The 25166-nt window shown below is 37.1% G+C and overlaps 1 long non-coding RNA gene across 1 annotated transcript in view; it reads left to right on the forward strand.

Moving 5' to 3' along the window:
• Positions 1–23825, forward strand: part of BALR6 (B-cell acute lymphoblastic leukemia associated long RNA 6) — a 306371-nt gene extending 282546 nt beyond the window's left edge. Inside the window, exon 5 of the long non-coding RNA NR_161333.1 lies at positions 21921–23825. This is a non-coding gene — a long non-coding RNA (B-cell acute lymphoblastic leukemia associated long RNA 6). The remainder of the gene's footprint in view (positions 1–21920) is intronic.
• Positions 23826–25166: the final 1341 nt, after the last annotated feature.

Raw genomic sequence — 25166 nt, forward strand, 5'->3', positions numbered from 1 at the left:
AAATGTTCACTAGCAATATATTATATGCATAGGATGATGTGGTAGTTAAGAGCATAATTTTAGGTTCAGTTAGAAGCTCAGCTTTTGCTTCCTTAGATACCTTGAGCTCCCTTAGCCTTTTTCCTCATCTGAAAATGGGATAATACTTGAACCTACTGCACAGAGTTAAAATGAGGGTAAATGGAAATAATCAATACGAAGTGATTAGCATGGTGTCTGCCACACAGTAAGTTCTTAACTGTTACTCTGTTGATAAAGTTATCATTTTAATAGCCCAGCTGTTCTACTGGATACTCTCAAATGCATTCTACTTATGGACCTAGAAATTTCCATATTCCAGAGGTCTACAGGAAAAGGCAAGTTATACAAAAGCCTACATTTTTCTGATTCCTTGTTCACTCATTCTGAGGACATTTGAGTTACATCTTTTTAAAAAACTTTTCTTTTTAGTTTTATGGATACATAATAATTGTACATATTTTGGGAGGTACGTGTGATATTTTGATACAAGCCTACAATATGTAATGATCAAATCAGAGTAACTGGGATTTCCATCACCTCAAACATTTATCATTTCTTTGCATTGGGAATATTCCAAATTCACTTTTCTAGTTATTTTTAAATATATATTATTTTAAAATTATAGTAAAATATGCATAACATAGAGTTTTCCTTCTTAATTGTTTTGAAGTGTACAGTTAAGTGGCGTTAAGTACATTGACATGGTTGTGCAACCAACCTCCGAAACTTTTTTTTGTCTTGTAAAACTGAAACTCTGTACCCACGAAACACAACCTTCTCATTCCCTTCTCCCTCCATCCCCTGGCAACCACCATTCTACTTTCTGTCTCTATGAATTTGACTAATACAGGTAGCTCATATAAGTTGCATTATACACTATTGGTCCTTTTGTGACTGGTTTATTTTACTTAGCATAATGTCCTCAAGATTCATCCATGTTGCAGCGTGTGTCAGAATTGCCTTCCTATTAAAGGCTGAATACTATGCCATTGTGCATATATATCACATTTTGTTTATCCATTTATCTGCCAATGGACACTTGGGTTGCTTCCACCTCTTGGCTATTGTGAATAATGCTGCTATCAGCATGAGTGTACAAATACTTGCTCAAGACCCTGTTTTCAGTTATTTTGGGTATATCCCCAGAAGTGGAATTGCTGGATCATATGGTGATTCTATTTTTAATTTTTTGAGGATCTGACATATTGTTTTCCATAGTGTGAACCACCCTTTTAAGGGTCCTTCTCAAGTTCACACAGAGGCCATGACATGCAGCTTCACAGCTGTCCCATCTCCTCTCTTGTTCTGCTTACACAGAGATACCTGCTGTGCAGCTACTATGTGCCAAAGTTTCCCCTGCCCTATTGCTGACCTTGATGTCTGCCAATATCCTTGACATCTGCCTGATATTCTGTGAGTTAGTGTTGTCTGCACCTTGGGTGGTATCTCTTGTCACAGCCAAGGCTGCCTCTAACAATTAAGGTTTATTGAGGGACCATTGTGTGACAGGGGCTGGGCCAAGTACTTTGCTGCATTATCTCATTTAGTTCTCACCACGACCTGTTAGACTGGGCCAGGATACTGGCTCCTTGGACCAGTGTGGTTCTTACACTTGGATGCACATGAGATTCAAGAGAAGGAGGAACTTAAAAAATCCCAATGCCCGGCAGAGGCCCCAGGCTAATTAAATCGGAATCTTTCGAAAGTTTTTACAAAGATCAACAGCTGATTCCAATTTATAGCCAGCTTTCAGAAACAGGGATTTTAGATCCTTGTTCGAAGTGTGGTCCGGCAGATTGACACTGGGAGCTGACCAGAAATGCAAACTCTTGAGCAACACCCCAAACTTACTGAATCAGAACCCACATTTTAACAAGAGCCCCCCCTAGTTTCGTATGCACATTGAAGTTTGAGAAGCACTGCCTTAGACCACAGAACATTTAACTCAGACAAATAAATCCAGCAAAGCAATAAAACTTTCACCTGAGGGTCTCCAAGTGATTCCTAATCATTAGCTAATTCATCTTCCTAACAGGACACTACACCTATTTTAGAGATGCATAAAGAAAGGCATATTTGTAATTTTAATTATTTGATTATCTCTCATTGTTGAATATTCTAATTTCCAGGCTGAAGCATTATGACTCATTAAATTATTCCCTCCCTTATAATCCCTAAACCAATTTCTAAAGTAAAAATCAAATGCAGTAAGCAACCAAATGAAGGCAAGACACACATCTATAGAGAGAAAAAAAATTCCTTTTTACCCCTAGGGCCAGTTCTTGCCTTTTTTTTTCCTGTTATCTCTTCTGTGTATCCCATAACTACCAAAAATGTTTCCTTTCAGATTTTTTGCAAGCATTTACTTGTAGAGTCCTATTTGCAGAGCCTCAGCTTCTCCCAAGAATTTAGCACATCACATGTATGTAGATCCTATTTTCTTAGCACTCTCCTAACCTTTCCAGCTTTATACTAAAACAACAAATTAGCATTCACCTTTGCCAAAACCACAAATATTTGTACAATTAAGCAGCAAGCTTTGTAGTTAGAGAGAAGAGAGTTCCTTTGCATTTTGTGGCGCCTAGCAGACATTTTTGGGGGGTTGGGGGGTTGGGCTAGATCAAGTCAGATTAGCAGTATCAGATAAATAGGGCCACTGTCAAGACATTTAACAATGCATTGAAGCAGTCTGTGTAAAGGATGTATAATTCAACAGCTTTGATATGTGGAAGTTCTCAATAGCTCCCAGGGAGGTGGCCTGTAGAGAAATTCATCAGTAAGTCATTGGAACAAGAGGTTTTACTGGATTTTGGAAAGTGAACAATCAGGGAATATGCCTGAGACAAAACTCGAAGCTCCAGAGGGTAAACAAGGTGAAGGCTTTCTGACCCCAGATCCTATTAGACTTCTTTATTTCCAGAGGTATTGTGAACTAATCTTCTGTAAATGATCTATGCCCACTCTATTCATGGCTGCATCCTGACCAGGCCACCTTTGGTTTCTGGGCCCCCTGGCCAGTCACAATGCAAAAAACAGGCCAGAGTTCAATGGAAGCCAGATCCCATGCCTGGAGCAGATATGGTATTTAGCATCGGTTTCCTATTCTCATTCCAACAGTAACTGTTTGTTTGCCTCATTCTTTTTGGAGAGGTGGAGTGTATTATCCTTAAGATGAATGTCTCTATTTTAAAACAGGTCTTTGTGAACAAAACCTCACCTCTTTTGAAGGGAAAGCACAGAGGGGAGGCTGGAGCAGAGTAGAAGTTTGAGTGGGGGAGAAGAGTGTACTTACTGTTAGCTGTACCTTTGGAGGTAAGAACCTATTGGAAATACAGTCCAAAATCTAAACAGTATGTATAGTTGTATTCAGAGGACTCTGGTATCATAGTTTACTTGGGCCAGAGGCAAAGATGTCCATGTAATAACATATGGAAATGGAAAAAGGAAAAAATTCAACCAAAGAGAAGCATTTTGAAATTTGAATGCAAGTCAGCCAGGCCCATCCTGAAATATCATCAGGCTTGCAAGCTTTAGAGAACAAGGTTGTTCAGTTTACTTCGACCAGCCAGAATGAGCACAATCCACCTCTATTTCTTTTAGTCCTCACCAATCTTTCAGACTCCCTTCATTACCAAAAGAAAGGAATGGAAGTTTCCTTCCCACAGTAAAAACATTCAGATTCCCCAATGGACAGCTGGTGGGAATCCGACTGGTGTTTCCCAAGCCTCCTTTGCTTAGCAAACTTGGTGACAATCCTGTATTCCTAGAGGAAGAGAAACCATTACATTAAGGATTTTCTTAAGGATTTCTCATGACAATCTAGTGCAGGTTTTCATGAAAATAGTGCTTGTGGGTTTTCTAATAGCCCCTAATTTTTAAATATTCAATAACAAGGGAATATAGGAAGAATAAAATAGTCTCCTCTGATGTATTTGAAGTCACCCTTACCCTTCTTTTCAGTGGCTTGGCCACTGCCAATCAACTCTGCTGTGTACCTGATGGCTCTTTCCCCAGGGTGAGCTTGTGTCTCAGCTGGTTCCTTACCGGTCTTCCAGGAAGATCGTCTATCTTCTGATACAATAAACCCTGGCAGTACACACCACCAGTCCCCTAGAATGTCTAGCCTTTTACAATTTCTAGTTGTGAGCAGAGCTTCAACTCCAGCTGGGACTCCCCAGTGCTTATCCAATGCAGAAACCAAAGAATCCAGTGGGCTGGACCCCAAGTATGCATACCTGCATGACCACAAATGACTGCATCGTGCATTCTCCAGGGTATAAATATGATAGTATTAGTAAAAGACTGATAGCCAACATTTCTTGAATCCTTAATACATACCAGTTTGATTACAGGTGTATTGAATTCATTGATTACAAGTGTATCATATATTTAAACTCATAGAAATTAAGTGGTTATTATTATTGCTTTTTAGTAAGGGGGAAACTGAGGTATAGAGAAGCTAAACAACTTGCTCAAGGTCTCACCACCAGGAAGTGGCAGGGCTAGGATTTGAACCAACTACTTCAGAACCAGAGCCTGCCCTTTAATCACTGTGATATTCTGAGGAAAATCAAACATGTTATTTCAGATAATTGAAACAATTATACCTAAGTCCATTAACCCTGAAAATGGAGATTCCCCACTTTTTGCAAGGCTTTCAGCGAATTCCTAGAAGCAGTAGTCTCTGAGCAGTCCCTCAGTAGGTTGTCACAGGTGCTGAGTTTCACGTGTAGCACCCATCATATTAGATGTGTGTGACAGAAGCCAAATTCAGTGCTCTACAGTGATAGAAATATCCTTTCAAAACGGAAGTACATCTCTCCCTAAGAGTCCTAAACCTTTATAAGGATTCTTCCTTATGTCATCACGAGGAGATTAGCAGTGAATGTCCCACTGCCTTTTATATCACTAGAAAGGAAAACTTTGCTGTAAAATAGTCACTCTCTCCTCAGTGGCGCACTCCTATGCTGCTTGTACATTTCCTGCTTCCCACAATTCATGGCAGAGCCCCTAAGTGCTTGGCAAAATTGTCCAAACATTGCAGTCATCCCTAATACCTACAAAGCAGCTAAAGAATAGAAAAGATCTATATAACTGACAGATTTGAGAGCAAAAAAGGTTACAGTCCTTTTTTGTTTGTTTGTTTTGTTTTAAATAAATCAAATTAAATCTAGGTCTAGCTATCACTCAAAATTATGATAGATCCATCAATGGTAAATTTTCCATGTCAAGGGCCGTCTTCCCCTGTCTTTGCTTATATAATATCTTAGCAGTTTACACAATCCAGAGTACTAAAGGAGGATTTAGGTTCTCAGGCCACAGTGTAGTTTTTTGCTCAAGCCTGAATGGATTATTTAAAATTCCAGCTCTGTTGTCATTCCGCTCCTTGCATACCAAGCTCAGCCTCTGCAAGGCCATGGTGCCTGAAGGCCCAGCCTACATGGGTACCATGCAGTCAACCTCATGTGGTGAGTCACATGACAATCCAGTTTCTGCCCCTTGTATTACAATTTTCTATCTTCCTTGCAGTCTCTAGAGTCATCCAGAGTCAGGCTAATGTTCTTATTAGTGTTTGAAATATACAGCCTCCTTTATGGCAGGATGGCAGAAACACCCTGATGGAGCTTCTCTCTATTCACATTGCTCTTTCTCCAGACACAAGCCTGCCCGCAGCATGGCTGGTTAAATGAACATAAGCTTCAGGGGCTATGCTCCTTGACCCACTCAGCTCAACCCCAGCTCTTCCTAATCTCATGGTGATTTCCCCCGGGGACCTTCTTGCCTGACTCTAGGACCTAGAGTCACTAGTCAACATCTTTTCTAATTGCTTTGTATGTTTTAAATCACTTAATCCTCCACATAATCCTATGAAGTAGGTACCATTATTACCTCCATTTGACAGATGCAAAAAACTGAGGCACACAAAGCTTTAGTAACTTTCACAAGATCAAACAGTGGTAGAACCATGATTCAAATTCTCTACTTGCTCTGAAATGTTATCATGTTAAATGTTGCATCTGAAATGTTACAAAACACAATGTTATCAACTTCCCACATCAATAGTCTACCTTAGCAAGGGGAAGTCAATTCTTTAGGAACATAATGCTGGCCCTGACCAGAGAGAAAGGAGATACTGCGTTTCATCTCTGATGAAACTGTAGCAGAAAAAAATTCACCAGCACTGCAGTCTACTGAAGTCCTCAGAAAATTGTTGTTTTAGAGAAACAAACGTCTCTAAGGCCTAGATTCAGGCAAGACAGTCTCTGAGAATCACCATGAGAGTAGGAAGAGCTGGTGCTGAGTTGAGTGGTTCAAGGAGCATAGTCCCTGAAGCTTACGTTTAACCAGCGTGCTGCGGGCAGGCTTGCATCCTGGAGAAAGAGCGAGGTGAATGAATATAAAGATCCCTAGCAAACATTTACTGGCAAATGTTTTAAGCTCGGTATTGTCCTGTCTTGCATCTTGAAAAGGACATGGCAGCCTGGGTACAAATATATATCAGCAGCAGCTACCACAACCAAGGCAGGAGGCTAAAGCTCACTATGGTGGGCCACACCATGGGCTGTGGTACCTGTGCTAGCAGCCGCAAGGAAAGCATCTGTTGGGGCTATCCCAGTTTTTGTTTTAATACCAGTCCATCGGCAATGATGGTAGCTCATTACAGAGCTACTAGTTTCTGGGATCAGTGTAGCCCTTTTGGCTCAGTGGGTACATCTGAGTGATAGCTCTACTATTGCTGTGGAACCCGCAGGGCTGTTTATTATAGGACACTTGTCAGCCTTGGAGTTTCCTTGACTCAACAATATAGTGGACTGGGAGAGACTTTTCATTAGAGGATTTTAGAAAAGAGGACAAGACTTTGGAATCCAACAAGCTTGGATTCAAATTCTGACTCTGCCATTCCTTCACAACTTGTCCTTGGGGAGAAATTATTATAGTTCTCTGAGTTTCCATTTCTAACTTCTAATATTGAAATCATGTGACCTATCCCTGTGATTGTTGTCTGTATTTAGCGAGATAATGTTTTCTAATTCACTAGTTCAGTGACTGGTGTATCATCAATACCTGATGAATAATAGAAGTATTATGATTATTATTTCTTAAATCTTCCTTAACTTTATTTCCTTATCCGTAAAAGGGTTTTGCCTCACAAAACTCTTGGGAAGAATAATTTAAAATGATTATTAATTCAAAGTGCATTGAAGAGAGGGCATCCACACTATATAGATTTCTAAAGGCAAAATAAGCATAGTGTCTGTGTGCATTCTCTTCCTCAAATGCCCCATACATTGTTTTTCATGAGGTCTTGCTGCAGAATGATTCAATTTTCTCATTTTGTTGAAACTTTTTGAAAGTAGAAACACAGTGAAACCTTGTTATATACCCACATTTAACATTTCCCTGCTTGTAATGTTCCCAGTTCCTTGAAAAATGAGGACAACATGGTCTTCTGTGTGTCTTTTAGTCTTTAAAGGACTCTCCTCCCTGCCCTTGGCAGTAGTGATCTAGGACATGTCTTTTTATACAGTTATTTAGTGAAGATCTGCATCCTTTTTAACAACATTGGCCTCTCTACCATCGTGGGTTCTAGCTAACTTGGCAATCATGGGTATATTTTTCATTGTTCATGTGCAAGGCAGACGTGTTGGCAGTTTCCATTGCAGCTGCTCAACTTCAGGAAAGAAAGAAATGTGAAGGTCCGAGAGATATGCTTTAAGTAGACTTCCTTTTTTTCACTTTTGGGTTGAATCGTTGAAGAGCAACACTTACAATTACATTTTGACTTTAATATTATCACAAAGAGGTAATTCTGGTTTTTTTTCAATTATTTGTGCTTCAGTGTAATTGTAATACTGCTGATCATTTGTTTGACTCATGCCACACAAACTTGACCTCTAGACATCTGTGCCAATAAAGGATTTAAACTTAAAGCAGAAGAATAGTTAATTAGTCTTCATTTATAACAATCTGATGAGTTGGGTTAGCTTTGAAACGAAGAGGTTCAATTGCCAAAGAAGGATGCTAATTTTATACATTACACATGGAGAAGGTCCAGAAATAACCTTCTTACAACATGCTACTTGAAGCCAAGCATTTCAAATCCACTAAATTAAAAGGTATAAGCATCCATCGTCAAATTTAGAAAGCTACTAAAATCTCATGAACTCTTTTTGAAAGCCTATTTGGAGCAATGCTCTCCACTTGGCTTTTACTGAAGTCCAAATACATAGGTTAAAAATTATACAGTTTTCAATTTACATAAACTTACTAAAGTTGCCCTGTCCTTCTTGGCTGTTAAGGAGATAATATTTTTTAGGGTTATAATTATTGCTGCTCACTCATTCTATATTCAAAAGTATTATGAGAACCTACAGAATGGTGCTCCCTAGGGACTACTTTTCACTTGATAGTCTTTACACTCCAAACCCTATATGAAAAGGCCTTTAATAGACTACTGTGTCTGATATGGGAGTCTAATTCAGTGAAACAAAATGGGATATAATGTGAACACAGACATACATAAAGATATGCATATCCTTGAGAAGAGAGAAGTTGCTAATCAAAGGAAGTTATGATATAAAAAGTAAAATCAATATATTTAATGAGTAAAAATAATGATTTTATTGCACGTTAGGCATTTACCTGCTATACATATATTATCTAATTTATTTATCTCAAAAACTCCAATAAGCTTGGTTTTGCTATCCCCACTTTATAGATCAGCAAAGTAAAACTCAAAACAGGTAACTTGTCAAAAGTTGCAGGAGTTCTGGAATCTGAACGCTGTTGTATATAGATGATATCAGCACGGACAGGACAAAGGTGGGAAGAAGAGGAAGACATCTTCCCTCCCTTTTTTCAGAGGAGGTGAAGCGAGAAGGCAAAGAATCACTGGGCAACTTCTCACTTTAGTTACATGTTTAGTAAATTTAAATAATGTAGGAACATTTTGATGGTTCCAGGGACAAGAATGACATCTAAATTCACAAAATTGCCCATATTTTTATTGAATATGCATAGTAAAATTTAAGTGTAAACACTAAAATAGAGTTAGAATGTATAACTTCCAAACTGTTAAAAGGGAAACATTCAATAAAAAAGAAAATACCAATTTTTTAAAAGCAAGGAAGTAGAAGAAAGCATAGAAGAAAAAAGCACAGAAAAAAAGATGGTAGATCCAAATTTAAACACATTAGTAATTGCACTAAATGCATTTAGACAAAATTCTTAAATGAAAACACAGAGATTTTCAGTTTGGATTTTTGCAGTTTGATATATGCTGCTTATAAGACAATGTCTAAAAAATAATAATATGGAAAACCTAAAAACAGAGGGATGGAAAACATCCAAAATATGAACAAAAGGGAACTGTTATAACTGTAATCATAACAAACAAAATAGATGTTAAAACAAAAAGCATTCTTTTTTTTTCTTTTTTTTTTTTTTTTAATTGAGATATGAGTCTCGCTCTGTCAACCAGGCTGGATTGCAGTGGCGTGATCTCAGCTCACTGCAACCTCCGCCTGCAGGATTCAAGCAATTCTCCTGCCTCAGCCTCCCGAGTAGCTGGGACTATAGGTGCGTGCCACCTGCCCGGCTAATTTTTTATATTTTTAGTAGAGACAGAGTTTCACCATGCTGGCCAGGTTGGTCTCTAACTCCTGACCTTATGATCCACCTGCCTTGGCCTCCCAAAGTACTGGGATTACAGGCATGAGCCACCGTGCTCTGCCCCAACAAAAAGCACTCTTAAGGGTAAGGCGGTTACATACGTTTTCTATTGCTCTGTAAGAAATTATCACAAACTTGGGCTTAAAAAACACCAATTTATTATCTCACAGTAAACATGGGTCAGAAGACTGGCACAACATGGCTAGACTCCGTGCTTAGGATCTCATAAAGTTGGTATCAAAATGTTGGCAGGCTGCATTCTTACCTGGAGGCTTAAGGAGGGAGAGATTTGCTTTGAACACCTTCTGGTTGTTGGCTGAAAATATTTCCTTGTTGCTATATGATTGAGGTCTCCATTGTCTTGCTAGCTGTTAATCAGGGACTGTTTTCAGCTGTTAGGGCTACTATCAGGTCTTCACACTGGATCCTTGCCATCTCAGCAACAGAGACCTCTCTTGCATCCAATCTTTCTTCATGCGTCAAATCTCTCTGGTTTCTGTTTCTGCCCCTAGCCAGCAAAAACGCTCTGTGTAAAGGCTCGTGTGAGCCTTTTATGCCCACCCTGGTCATCTCCCTTTCTTAAAGTCAACAGTGCCACAACATAACCATGGGGAAAAAGCCATCAAAATCATAGTCCCAGGGATTATGTAGTGTGGGTCTAGCAAGGGGACAGGAAATCTTGGGGCACATTTGTGGAATTCTGCTTACCACAAAGGACACTATGATAATTGAATATGGGCTGTGTTAGGGAAGAAATCTAATCTTAGACTAAAAGGGGAAATTTGCCAGAAAAACATAAAAATCTAAATGTCTATGCATCATTAAAATATCTCAAAATAAGTAAATCAATAGTTGGTAGAAATCAGGGAGAAAATTACATATCCATGATCATAGTGAGACATTTCAATATATCTCTTCCAAATGGCCAAAAATTTAATAAACCAAGACTATTTCAAGGGCAAAACTTGAAAGAAGAAACTTTAAAAGAAACTTGAGATACAGGACACTTATGGAATATTACAAAAAAGAAAACACATTCTTTTCAAATAAACATGGAAGCACTATGTACTGGGTTACAAAATACATTTTTAAACTAATTTCAAAGAATCATTATTATAAAGACCACATTCTTTGTAAATACAATTAAATTAGAAGTCAATAACAAAAGACAAAACCATATATTTGGAAACAAAATGACATAAATTCAAATAAGTGGCCAAAGATGAACTTGTATGGAATATAACAATACACAAGAACTAAACATTAATGAAAATATTAAGATCAAAACAGAATTTTGCCACAGTGGTACCTAGAGCAAAACCTGTACCATTAAATGTTTAAGTTAAAAAAAAAAAAAAAAGCAAGGCTGGAAATGAAGATGTCCAACTTAAGAAGTTAGAAAAAACTTCAACAAGATAAGAAAGAAAGTAGAAAAATTAAAAAATAGAAAAGAACACAATAGAGAAGGACCAGAAAGCCAAAAGTTGATCCATTGAAAAGAAGAATAAATAAAGACACTAAACTTTCTCAAGAATTGCAAAGCTTGCATAACTCTATAAGGTTTAAAAAAAATTAATCAGTAGCTTAAAACCTTCTACAAAGAATACACCAGTTCCAGATGGCTTTTTTTTTTTTTTTTTTTTTTTTTTTTTTTTTTTTTGAGATGGAGTCTCGCTCTGTCGCCCAGGCTGGAGTGCAGTGGTGTGATCTCAGCTCACTGCAAGCTCTGCCTCCCAGGTTCAGGCCATTCTGCTGCCTCACCCTCCCGAGTAGCTGGGACTACAGGCGCCCACCACCACGCCTGGCTAATTTTTTGTATTTTTAGTAGAGACGGGGTTTCACCATGTTAGCCAGGATGGTCTCGATCTCCTGACCTCGTGATCTGCCTGCCTCGGCCTCCCAAAAGTGCTGGGATTACAGGCGTGAGCCACCGCGCCTGGCCCAGATGGCTTTTTAAGTGAGTTCTACAAAACTTTCAAAAAAACCCAAATCATTCTAAACTTTCATAAAACTTTCTACAATATAGGAAACAAAAAAATTTTCTAATTCAATTTATGAATGTTATAAAACTTTAATATTAAAGCCAGACAATGGAGAGTATAAGAGAAGTCACCATTATATATGAACATAGATACAAACTTTTAAAACAACTTATGGACAAAATTATTCAAGAAGAAAATAAAAGAGATAATATGTCATGACTAAGTTGGATTTATCACACTTCTACAAGGACAGTGTGTTAGAAAAATTTATAAATATCAGTTATACTATTAAAAGATTAAATAAGTCCAGGTGCTGTGGCTCTGGCCTATAATCCTAACACTTTGGGAGGCCAAGGTGGGAGGATCACACCAGCTCAAGAGTTTGAGACCAGCCTGGGCAATATAGCAAGACCCCATCTCTAAAAAATAAAAAAAGAAAATATTTTAAAGAAGACTAAATAAAAATACATATGATCTTCATGATATAGGCAAAATAGACATCTGATGAATTTAGGCATTTGATAATGATTTTTTTTAATTCCCTTAAAAATAAACATGTATTTTAGCCTGTAAAAATTATCACCAAAAGGTAAAGCAAATACCTTTCTTAATGGTGAGAATGATCCTCTGAAGGCAGGAGCAAGAAAAAATGCCCACTACCTACTACTTATATTCAAGACTGAATTTGAATTCCCAGCCATTGGAATAAAACAAGAAAAAAGGTTTAAAAAATATGAGAGAGAGAAAGAAACAAAATTGTCATTTTCCAAAGAGGAAGTGGTTTTTAATATAAAAAAATTTTCCAAAATTACCAAATATTTATTAGAAATAAGAGTTTAGCAATATGGATAGATATGAGATCCTTGTAGAAGTAAATAAAATCTTTACTTAACAGTCCTTGTAAATATAATTCCCTATAAATTAAAGATTTATGTGAAAGACAAAATAGAAAACATTTTAAAGTAAATATGGAGAAGGTATTTCTGATCTCAGAGTATGGAAGTCTTTCCTAAATAAAATACAAAAATAATTAACTGTGTAAGAAAAGATTGACAAATTTAACTGCCATAAAAATAAGATTATCTGCACATCAAGAGTCACCAAAAAGATAACGAAAAGACAAGACACAAAATGAAAAAAGACAGTTGCCACAAAATTAAAAAAGAACATATTAGTAACTTTCACAAATCAACAAGAAAAAATCAAACAACCCAATAAATTAAAAAATAGAGAAAAATATAAACAGAAATACCCTATAAAACGAAACACAACTGACACATAAGCATATAAAAATATGGTGTCTTAGGTGAGGTAATCAGGAAACAGACACTGAGATTGAGCTTTACTTGCAGAAGAATTATTAGGAAATGTTCTCATGGACAAGATGAAGATCTATAAGGAAGTGAAGCAAACATAATTGGGTGGAGGGAAAGTTGTTTTGGAACGTGTGAACTTCAAGTTATTTGTAATAGAAGCCTCAGCCCATCCCACAGGGAGCCCTGGAGATGGCATCACTCGTCAACGTTATCCCTAATGGAGGCAAGAAAGCCGAGCCTTTTTTTTTTTTTTAATGACGGAGTCTCGCTCTGTCGCCCAGAATGGAGTGCAGTGGCGCCATCTTGGCTCACTGCAAGCTCTGCCTCCCGGGTTCAAGCGATTCTCCTGCCTCAGCCTCCCGAGTAGCTGGGATTACAGGCGCCTGCCACCATGCCCAAGCCTGGCCTTTTTACTCAGGCATTGACTAGTCACTATCACCAAGGAAAGGGACATACCCTTATTTATTTATTTATTTTTAAATAGTCTCCATTAAATAAAATGATGTATTAGATTTTCATCTTCAAGTACTATCCTTTATGTTAGTGTTGGCTTAAGGTGTGGTCCATGGATGATGCCGGTCCATGAACGCGTGTCACCGTTTCACAATGAGATGAGTACAGAAACTGAAACTCAGCTTTTAGAAACTTCTGCAGTGGTTACATTCAAACATGTCATCAGTGGACTTTCATAAAATTATCGATTCGTGAATGATTTGGTAGTAAGTACTGATTCTTAACCATAAATTTGTACCTTTGAGAAGCATTATTCTATGACCCTGTTTCTTTGGCTACGATTGTACTGAACCAGTAGTTTTCCAACTGTGGGCTTGAAGTTTCTGCTCACCGAATTTCATACCCTCATCTAGTTTTCATCATCAGTTCAGGTCAGGGCTCCCAAAAGTGGGCTCTGATGCATAAGTTTCATGGGTAAATTACAAAACAAGGCTTCCATCGTCAAAGAATTTGAGAGATTTGGAATGAAATGAAATAAAACAACTTTCTTTTGTAGAACTTCTCAGAGTCCTTAATAGGCTGATGAGCATTATAAATATCTCAGAATGAAAAATTAAAATGTCTAGTAAAACCAAATATTGGTCAGAATCTGGATGAAATGGAATTCTCATATTCTTTTAATAGAAGTATAAATTGATATAACCACTTGGGAAAACAATTTGTCATTGTCTTATAAAATTGAATATGCACATATCATTTGACCCAGAATAATAAAGACATTCTTGAATATACACCAGAAAATAATAGCAAAAATATTGAAACATCCTATAAGCCCATTGAGAGGAGATTACATAAATAAATGTTGGTATATTAACACAATATACAACAGTGAAAATAAAAATAAATCTACCCCCACTATATACAACAAAATGGAGAATCATAGAACATAATATTAAGTGTTACCTTTTGCTTAGAACATAATGCTGAGTGTTACACAACAGCAGTTAATGTAGAGAAAGTATGGCAAATCCATGAAATGAAGAGCTATGCAGTCACTAAAAATGATTCATAAAATAAAATATAGTAATGAGAACTGATATTTGCAATATACAAACCTATTTTTTATTATACTTGTCATCTAATATATGTATCATATGTTGATACATATATGTAATAGATATACAATGTTGTACAGATTGAATACCTATTGCATATACAGATAATATGTATTCTTGGGGAAAGCATCAGATGGAGGGATGCCAGAATGATTTTTATGTCAGGTGATGTTATTTGGGATTATTTTTGTTTTTAAATATTTACTTTTCTATATTTTCTTAAGTTTCTGCAATGAATATATCTTTGGTAATGAGGAAGAATAATAATAAATATTAACTGAAAAAAATCACTGAGAGAAGAGGGAAATGGCCTCTGGAATTCATTTTGAGAATAGGACATAACTGAACACAATTAGAAATAAAGAGATGGGGAATAAGGGTCAATCACAGAATTTCAACTCATCAAGGCAAAAATCTGCTTGAAGTAGTCAGTGTCTCCTTAGACATCTTACACTACTCTTGTGCCCAGGTGTGTTTGCTTCCAAAACATAGGCCCCTTGTATCGCTATCACATGGATTGAAAGCTACTATAGAAATATTCTGCTCTTGGGAGACAAAGATTGAATGTATAGAGTTCTAGCCTTGGAATTATTAAAAATGGAAAAGGAAACTTGAAGTACTTTAGAAACACAGAGAAGATAATTTCGATTGTAATAAAGCCAATAAGATTTATAGCAGTCACATAGGAGAACTTCCAGAAAATAGAAATTATTAAACATTACAGCAAGCTATTAAAAAATTTACAGGACCTTGTTTCTAACTAATCTTTCAGCATCAAATAAATAATCAGATATTTTGAAGGCATGGAATAAAGGTTAATTTTAGAGGTTAAGACATATCTGGTGATCTAAAGTCTTGGGATGGTTTTTGCTTGTTTGTTTTTGCCCTGCCTTTATTTCGTGCCCGATGATTTGATAGAACTATCCAATTTTGATGCCATTTTTGTAGAAAGAAAATTATGAGCCTATACCAGAATTTCCCTGTGTCTCCTCTGCAAACCTGATTCTATAAAACACTTATAAACAAGACTTCCATAGTCAACTACCTCTGGGGTATTATCTCAGAGAGACTGGCAATACACATTAGCATACAAAGTCCCTGAGAAGTTCCGCAGGGAAGACATAAATGACATCTGTATAACTCTACAGCACGGCCTACTTTGGAAAGCCCTGAACCAAACCAATGGAGAAAATCGTATTCGAAGATTAAGTCAAATGAAAGGAGATTCTGCAAACACATAAGAGGCAGAACTATTGGCTCAGGATCTCAGGATAATGATGAAAGAAAACACAGGACCACAGAGCAGTGCTACTTAAACTATCTGTGGCAAATGGCCATTTTTAAATCATATCTCTTCCATCATAGATCAATACCTTTGTAAAGTTTGCTGATCATGCTCTTGGTGTCGACATGATGTCAAATTAAGAGTTTTGCTATACCTATTCTAATTTGTGTGCTTATCTCACTGTGGTAGCGAACAATTTGTGGACTGGCATTGCCTATGGAGTGCACTTCGAGTAACACTGCCATAGAGGGTAGTAAGTTGAGGATGTAAATCTGGTGCATCAATTTTTTCAACCCAGAATGTTTTAAAATAGATAAACAGGCTGGGCGCGGTGGCTCACGCCTGTAATCCCAGCACTTTGGGAGGCCGAGGCAGGCGGATCTCGAGGTCAGGAGATAGAAACCATCCTGGCTAACACGGTGAAACCCCGTCTCTACTAAAAATACAAAAAATTAGCCGGGCGTTGTGGCGGCCGCCTATAGTTCCAGCTACTCGGGAGGCTGAGGCAGCGGAATGGCCTGAACCTGGGAGGCGGAGCTTGCAGTGAGCCGAGATCACACCACTGCACTCCAGCATGGGCGACAGAGCGAGACTCTTGTCTCAAAAAAATAATAAAATAAAATAAAATAAAATAAAATAAAATTAAATTAAAATAAAATAATAAAATAAAATAAAATAGATAAGAAGACACGCTAACTCATTCTGATGATTAGCAGGACACAGAGGAGGCCAAACCATTTAAAATCACATGAAGAAAAAATTAAAAGGAAGAAATAACTTAGTCAACAAATATTAAAGGAATAAGGAACGTGACCATTTTCATAAGTTGATAGCTTTTTTGTGTAAGTTTCATACTCCTACTTCTTGACTAACTGGAGTAGAGCAAGAGATCATTATAAATCTCTTTCAATTTTTGCTATATTGAAATATTGTTTTCCACAAACGTCACTTAAAGAAATGACTGTCCTTTTATCTTGTTCCTGAAATAAAGGGAGTAAGGTAAAAATACCAATTGCTACTCTACCCAGCAAGGAAGATGTTGGCCATGAAAACAGGGCCTTACTCTCTTATGTTGTCTCTGGGAGTGCAAAATAGTATGATATCTACGGGAAGGGAATTTGGCAAAAACTGGGCATTTACCCTTTGACCCAGTGATCCCATTTCTAGGTATCTAGTTCAGCTAGATACCTGATAAAATTATGAAAAAATATGTGCCCTAAGATACTCATTACAGAACTATTTTTAATAACAAAGGTCCAAAATCTACCCAAACAGTTAACAATAGAAGACTGATTGAATAAACTGTAGTATAGCCATAGAATGGGGTATTATGCAATTAAAAGAAACAAGAAATTCCTTTGTATGCCACTATGAGATTTTCAAGTTGTACCTGAAGTCAAAAAAGCAAAGTGGATAAAAATTTATATAGCGAGCTACTGTTTATCTAAAAAGATATATCTATATAGAGACAGATATAAAATATACCTACTTATATTTAAGAAACAAGCTCCTGAATGGTTAAGCCATAATTTGGTTTTTGAAATACTATATAATAATCTCTGGAGGAGGTAATTTAAAAAATTACCTGTGGTTTATGGGAAGAGGGCAGCACTAGGGGATAGGAATAGATGCTACACTTTATTTAATTTGCCTTATTTGTAGATTTGATTTTCACATCATGTAAATATTTTACACAATTACAAAATAAAAACAAAATTTAAAAAGTAACTTTTAGAAAGAGAAATAAGATGAGGCCATGTGCGGTGGCTCATGCCTATAATCCCAGCACTTTGGGAGGCTGAGTCACGTGGATTGCTTGAGCTCAGGAGTTTGAGACCAGCCTGTGCAACATGGTAAACCCCCCATGTCTACACAAAATAAAAAAAAAAATAGTTAGGCATGGTGGTGTGTGCCTTTAGTTCCAGCTACTCGGGAGGCTGAGGTGGAAGGATGGCTTGAACCCGGGAGGCAGAGTTTTCATCGAGCTGAGATGGCGCCACTGCATTCCAGCCTAGGTGACAGACTGCAACCCCGTCTCAAAGAGAGAGAGAGAGAGAAATGAAATAAAAAGAAACAAATGGACGTAATGCATTTACAGTTGGTGGCATAACAACAGAGAGAATTCCATTTGCTATTAAAACTCTGTACTTTGACATGTCTAATGTGATGTATCTTACGTACAGAAAGAAATTTAAAAAATCATAAACTATTTTCAGTAATCATATTATCATTGGTAGGGTAGGTATTGCTATTCTGACCTTGCTTTGTGTATACCATGTGATAAAGCAGCCAAATAATTATGGGATATTCCAATTCTATCATTGTTGTTGTCATTGTTAAGAACTGGGATTCTTGGCAAGGGAAAGAGGAGATACACATTTGAGATTGAAGAGTTTTTTGGTCTTGAATTAGAATTGAAAGCATCACTACCACTACTTAATAGTATGGGTATATATCATTGAGCTCTTTCCACTGAAAACGTCTAGAAACATTGACCAACCCAGTAACAATGATTCATCCTAGTGTCCAGATGATAGTATACAAATACGATTTCCCGCTAAGAGGAGCCTGGACACCTTTAACAAACTGTCGACTCCAGGTTTGAGGCAGCATATGTACAAAATGAGTCTGGAACATCTTGTAGCAGATGGTAAGGAAGTTACTAAAATTTACTAGAGCGTCAAAAAATCTCCTCTTCAAGAAAAAACATAAAAATGTATAAAACTTCAATTGATTGGAACATTTCAAATATGTTTAAATCTATGAGTTTATAATGATACTTCAGAAAATAGGTAATTTTGGGCAGGCTAGAAAACCACATCACTATTTTGAAATTGATATAGAAAGAGAAAAATAATGTATTTGGTCTCTCTTTCCTATATGAAATGCTTCACTGAGTAACCAAGAGTGGATCAGGAAAAAGTTTCCTCTTATTACAATTAATACACAGGGAAGGTGTGATAGGACTAAAATAGCAATGCTTTTTCAATTAATGAACTAATGAATCTCAATATTGATCATCAATGACTGCTGATGTGACAAGAACACAAGCTGCCAGATAATACATGCCTCCTGGTAGGAGAAGAAATACTGCCAATCAAACTCTCTTGCCAAAGAAATTAACCTGAATTCAATCAAGTGTTTAACATACAGTATATACTGTATATACTATGTCTTATCTTAATATACAAAAATACAGAGGACACAAGAACATGTTAAATGACACCACAGGGATGGAATCAGCAAAATCCAGACTATGGGAACCTTTATAAGACAAATAGTTATGCAAGGAATAAATGGCAGGCAATACATTGCAAGGAAATAGCAATGTACAGATCTTATTTGGATCCTGACTCAAACAAATAAACTTTAAAAATCATGAGACAACTGGAAAGTTTAACATTGATTAGATATTTCAAAATATTAAGGGATTATTGTGACATTTTTCAAGAGAGATAATGGTAGTGTGATTATGTTGAAGAAAAAAAAGCAACCTGATTTCCTACCAGGGCAGTTTAGTTTCAGCTGAAGAACAAAAGGATTTATGGCAAGTGAAAAGGAAGGACATGCTAAGGAAGCTTCCCTGCCACCGCCCCCACTTCCCCAAGTTTGCAGAAGGATATCTATAGAATAGCAACAGATGTCCTAGGAAAGAATGCAAAGCCTCATTCTCTTTCAAGATTCTAGGACTATTCATAAACTGTTCAGCTATTTTATGTCATCAGCAGAGTTCCTCCAGTGAATTACAGTCCTCTATCGGCTTTGGGACCATCCATTACAAGATGCAACCAGAAGCCAAGATGCAGTTGGCTCATCTCACTAAGTGTTTTCATAAGCAGATTTATAATGAGAGGAAAATGCATTTTATTGATAGTAACCAGGGCTACAGAGAACTCCCCCAAATTATCAGGGGTTGTTACAGGGGCAATTTGCAGAGCCTTCTTCCAACAAGACAGTAAAACAGCCCCCAGCCCTGCTAGCTTTTTAAAATCTACTAAACAATGCGAAGCCACAGTTTCATTTTTTTCTTTCTGGCTGGAGATAGTGGAAATGTTCATCACCCAGTGTGAAGTAATATGTGAAACAGGTGTTTTATTCCCTAGCAGGTAAAATGGGTTTGATTCCTGTGAGATGTAGACATTTCAAGGCTACCAGCAAGAGGTCCAGATGGTGTGTATTTTCATATCTAATATTATATAAAAGATTTCAAATGTATCCTGACTCTTAACAAAACCATAAATTCACAGCTTATTGCCATGCTGAACAGCTCTGGTAGCTACTAATTAGTATTACTGTTTTTGCTTTCCTCTTCCAGGGATCACTAGCATACCTGAGCCTTTACATTTTTAGCTTCCAGTAAAAAGACAGAATTCCAGGGTAGGAGCCCATCTCACTTAAGGGCCAGCTGCATGTACAACATTAGAACCTTAGGGGATATACAAATGTTTACGGAACCACGGGTGGAAACATAGGTTAAGCTTTTAAGGAAAAACACTTTCAGTTGTTCCCTGTTTGGTCATGAAATGATTCCAGAAATATTATTGAGCGTCTTTTAATAATAATAATACCAATAGCAAGCATTATTGCAAGTTTATTATAAAACAGGCATTTTTCAGATTATGCTACACACGCTGTCTTATTCAATATTCCTAATCACCTTTGGAGATACCAGTAGCTCCATGTTACATATTAGGCAACTGAGGTTTAGGAAACTTCAGCAGCTTACTCAAGAGCCAACTCAGGTATAATGGGTAGCAGTCCTCACTCTTAATAAGAATAGCATATTCCTTTTTTGCTGTGTAGCATGATAGCCCAGAAGGCACTGTATACATTGTGTGCAGAAGGAGCCCCTTGGAAAGAGTTCTGTGGTATTTATAGGAAACACTACTATAAAGAAAGGAAGTCAAGTCAGCAATACAGTGGGTTAGAATTGTTCCCATTCTAGAAAGCAACAGTCTAGGTCTCAATACAGGGTAATGAGCCAGCCTATGCTTCCTAAAAGCCCTGGGCAGAGTTTAACCTCCTGATTCCATTCTCCTGCCTCCCGCTGTCTTGTGCTCATAAGTATATCAACCACTGCTCTGTCAAAGGAACATTTTGCCCCCTCCTAAGACTATTTAATATGCTCTATAGAGTGAGGAGGAAGAGAAAATATAGGAGCTAATACTTTGGGGGAAACTCCATGATCTCACATTGTTCATTTTATGAACAAGCTCCTCTTATTTTCTATTGAGAAGAGTCAACAGGATTGATTTCTTTCATCCTAATACCCCAACATTTAAGCTTCCATTGATACTGAGCTATGCAAAATCTCAAGTCTGCCTCAATCCCGAGAGCATGGAGTGAAAAAAGTAATGTTGGGAGAATCTAGGCTGCTCTTTCTGCCCTTCAGCTTAAAATTGCTTTTGTGATTTTCAGTCAGTTCCTTTACCTCAGTGGGGTCAGGTGTTCTTATATCCAGAAGTCTTCATGTGAAATAATGTCTAAGGATTCATATAGCTTTGGAACTCAGTACCTTAATGCCAATGCCCATGCTCATAACTCACATGAGTGGGCTCATCAGAATAAAATAAGTGATTTATTTTATTTTGGGGAGCATGACTGATTAGATAGAAACCCGTTACAACAGGGATTTTGGATTCCATCTTATAAAAATAAAAATGTAAGCAAAATTTGCCATGGTCTTACCTGCAAGGCAGACTCTAAATGGAAATATAAGTAGAGTTTAAGGAACCATATAGAAATATGACAACATTTCCACATTTCTGGGTGAGTTTTGTGGAATAACTTTCATTGTCTTGCTTTATGCTATTTAATCCCTTGTAGTAATAGAGGCATTGGCATCTTAACTTTCTAGAAGAGCCAAGAGGGCATCACGTTAAAAAAATCAAAGCCCTTAATTTCTAACCCTTAGCAACTCTTGCAGACAACTATAGCTTGGTTTTCACCTATTTCTGTCGTCTGGTATTTTTTTTCACAAGTGAGAAAGATCTTGACCAACAAAGGTCTAAATAGATGTTCCTCTTTCATGCTCAACGGAATTCTGAAGGAATCCTCATTTTCTCTTTCTGTTCAGGCATGGTGTGCAGAAGTCAGCTGTGAAAAGGAGGAATGAAAGCAAGTGAAGGATGCCCTTCATAAGGAACAAGCGATCTCTCTAAAACCAATCCTAGAGTATGGCTTCAGATTCTGCTCCCATTTCTCAATGATTATGAGTTTTGTGCCACATCTTCTCCCCCTTTATCCCTACAATATTTGCATTTCATGTTTTTATTCTCTTACTGCCTGAGCAATTTGAAACTCTCATATTTAGGCAATTCCCAGATCTCGTTCTTAAAGCATTGTGATTCCCTTTCAGCTTTTCAGAGGCACGTGTGCTGGGGAAGGCACTGAGTCCTCCCTGTCAATCCAATTTGTGATAAGGATTTCCCCAGGTGCACCCATTCCATAGTCCCTGTGTTGCTCTGAGCCTGGTTGGCATCCTTTTGGGAAGCATTTGTATTGCTTTTTCATCTCAGAAAAGATACTCTAGTCACAAACCAGTCATCTGCCTGTTAAGCTGTATTTAGAACAAATCACTCCGAAGCAAAACAACGATGACAACAACAAAAGAGCCACACTTATTTCTTTCTAGACTTTTAACAAAATGTTTGATGTTGTGGAGATTTCCAAACAATTAATGTGAAATTGGGTACTGTTGTTCACATGATTTATTTACCATATATAGAGAATTCAGCTGGAGTGCTACTGTCAATGATGCTCCCAATGAAATTTCAGCAGAGAGTTGGAAAATCAGCAAATTGTTTATTTCCAAAGAGGAATTACATTTTCAAAGGATAAAAGTTAATAGGAGTCATAGTGCTCAAAAACCACACGATATAGGAAAACCTACCCCACTCCACCAAAGGGCACATCTTGCTTTGAACACTTGATTTCATATTAACAGTTCATGAGTTATTCAAAGCAGGGGAATCTCCTGCAGGTTGGGAAATATCCTAGTGCTTTTCATAGCCTTCCATGTCATGGATCAGGGACACACACTTGTGCACATGTGTGCACAGACACAAAACAGAGAGAATGCTTAACAGGAGCACATTTTACAAAAGTGAGATCCCAGGCCTGGAAAATCCCAAACTCTTATAAATTTTACAAATCCAAAATGGAATATTCAAAAAGAACTCAACCTGTTTCTCTTGAGTAACTTTTCAGACTCTCATTACAGGCCCCATGAGGTCAGTCAGATTTCTGTTCTACAGGATACTGCAAAAAGAGACCAGAAATTTAAAAAGGAGTGATGGTACCACACAAAATAGTAAAAATGAAATAGAGAAGGTGTGAAGTTAGATCCTTGATTTATGTGTGGAAAGCTAGTGCCAAGAATATTGTTATGGGCCTGGCTCCTAGAGGCAAGATTTGTTAGCAAAAACTGTCTCTAAATATTTATGCTCAGCTAAATAATTGCTAAATAATTCCGGATCCCAGCTGGAAATCTAGGATCAGGACTAGCCTAAATTAGTAGATCTATGTGATAGTATATTGGTATTTTATCCAGAAAGTACTTGCTCAATGATAGGTTCAACTTCAGCATATAATTCATATACTTTTATAAAAGCCTTTTCATGGCATTACATAGAAGGCCTTTCCTTGGAAATATTTCCATAAAATAAACAAAGCACTTAAATCAGTCCATTCAATAGCATTTGTTTTAGGATTATTAAAGAAATACAGAGTTTTGACTTCCGCAGTGTGCTAACATGGATTATTCTTTCATTTGCTGATCCTTGTATGTGCAGTAGGATGTTGAAAGTGGGGGTGGTGGCAGCATATTTCTACATCACCTTGGACTTTACCTTTCTGAGAATCAACATAGGTTTCTAACTTTTTTTATGGCCCTGACTGGTGCTTCAGTAAACCCACGAATAAAAGCAGTACTCCAATCTGCAGAGACTCTAGAAGAAAATACTTTCTATGAACCAAAAAACAAAGAGGAAGCTTCATCATTTAATTTGACTGCTAGAGAAACATCTACACATTTCTCACATTCTTCTCATATCAGAATAAGGGATTGTTACAGATTTTTGACCAAAAATTAAAATTTTCTGAATTTAAAAGGAGTGAGTTGAAATGGAAGCCTATACTTATACTTTTCACTTTTTCTCTGGGATCCCATACAAATGCTTCAAATAACACAAAGGAGATCAAGAGTTTAGAGTGGACTCTGTCATAAACAAGTTCTGTGATGTCACTTTCCTTCTTTGAGCTTCAGTTTCCTCATCTGTGAATGCGAGAATGGATGTCATGTCTGGTGAGGCTTTCTAGTTGGTTCTACCCTTCAGTGATTCATCTGACATTTTTCAAACTGTGCTACAGAAACAAAGAGAATAACAGAGAGGAAGAAACTGATGAGATAAACTATTTCAGTTAGAGATTTGGAGGGGTCTAATTAAAGTTTTATTCTTATGGTGTATAGAAGAAACTTTGGCTATCTGTTGTTATTGTTCCCTGATTATAGCTTTCTGAGCTATAGGAGAACACTGTATTGATGTTGCCAGAAGACATTTCAAGGAGAAGATAAAGAAAGAAATTATTTGACTAGAGCTAATAAATATGTATGGTTTCCTGTGTTGTTTTGTTTTTTTAAGAGAGATTAAGAAATGGAGAGGTTTTTCTCTCCATACCAGACAGAGATACAGAGATGGAGCTTTGCAATCTAACGCAGATCTATTTTGTCCACTAATGCAGAAATAACATCATGTGCATTAAGAAAGCTCTGGATCTGTTTAAATCAATTAAAGTAAAGTTAATGTATTTTAATATCTGAGCTCTTCCCTTATCGATATAACTCTGCCATGTTTTCTTCTCAGAGCCCAAGGTGATGAAAAATAGACTCATTTACTCTATTACATCTTATAACTGTGGCTTCAAGATTTTTTTTTCTTTAGTTGTGAAGCCACAAGGAGATTTTATGTGACTCTAAAGCTGCTGTTGGTTTTCATACCACAGTACTCAAGGGCATTTCTTACCTTCAGGCTGCTATTGTTTCCAATCTGGAGATAAACGCACACTTGATAAAACTATTTTAATGATGCTAATATTAATACTTTGGTAGAATACTTTATCTGCTAGTAATAGCTTTAAAGAGTTTGTTGAGATTTTGTCATCTCATACATTTTAATAGAATATTAGGTTTGTAATTAACAAGAAAAATACAGTAGCTCCACTTCTCACTTCCTCCATATTCACGTAATGATTACCAGTGGAATATCTGCTGTTCTGTACCCTTAGTAGACCAATCAATATTTTGGTGAATGGAGAAGTCTGA

The sequence above is a fragment of the Homo sapiens genome, chromosome 3 (assembly GCF_000001405.40).
Source record: "Homo sapiens chromosome 3, GRCh38.p14 Primary Assembly".
Taxonomy (NCBI): Eukaryota; Metazoa; Chordata; class Mammalia; order Primates; family Hominidae; genus Homo; species Homo sapiens.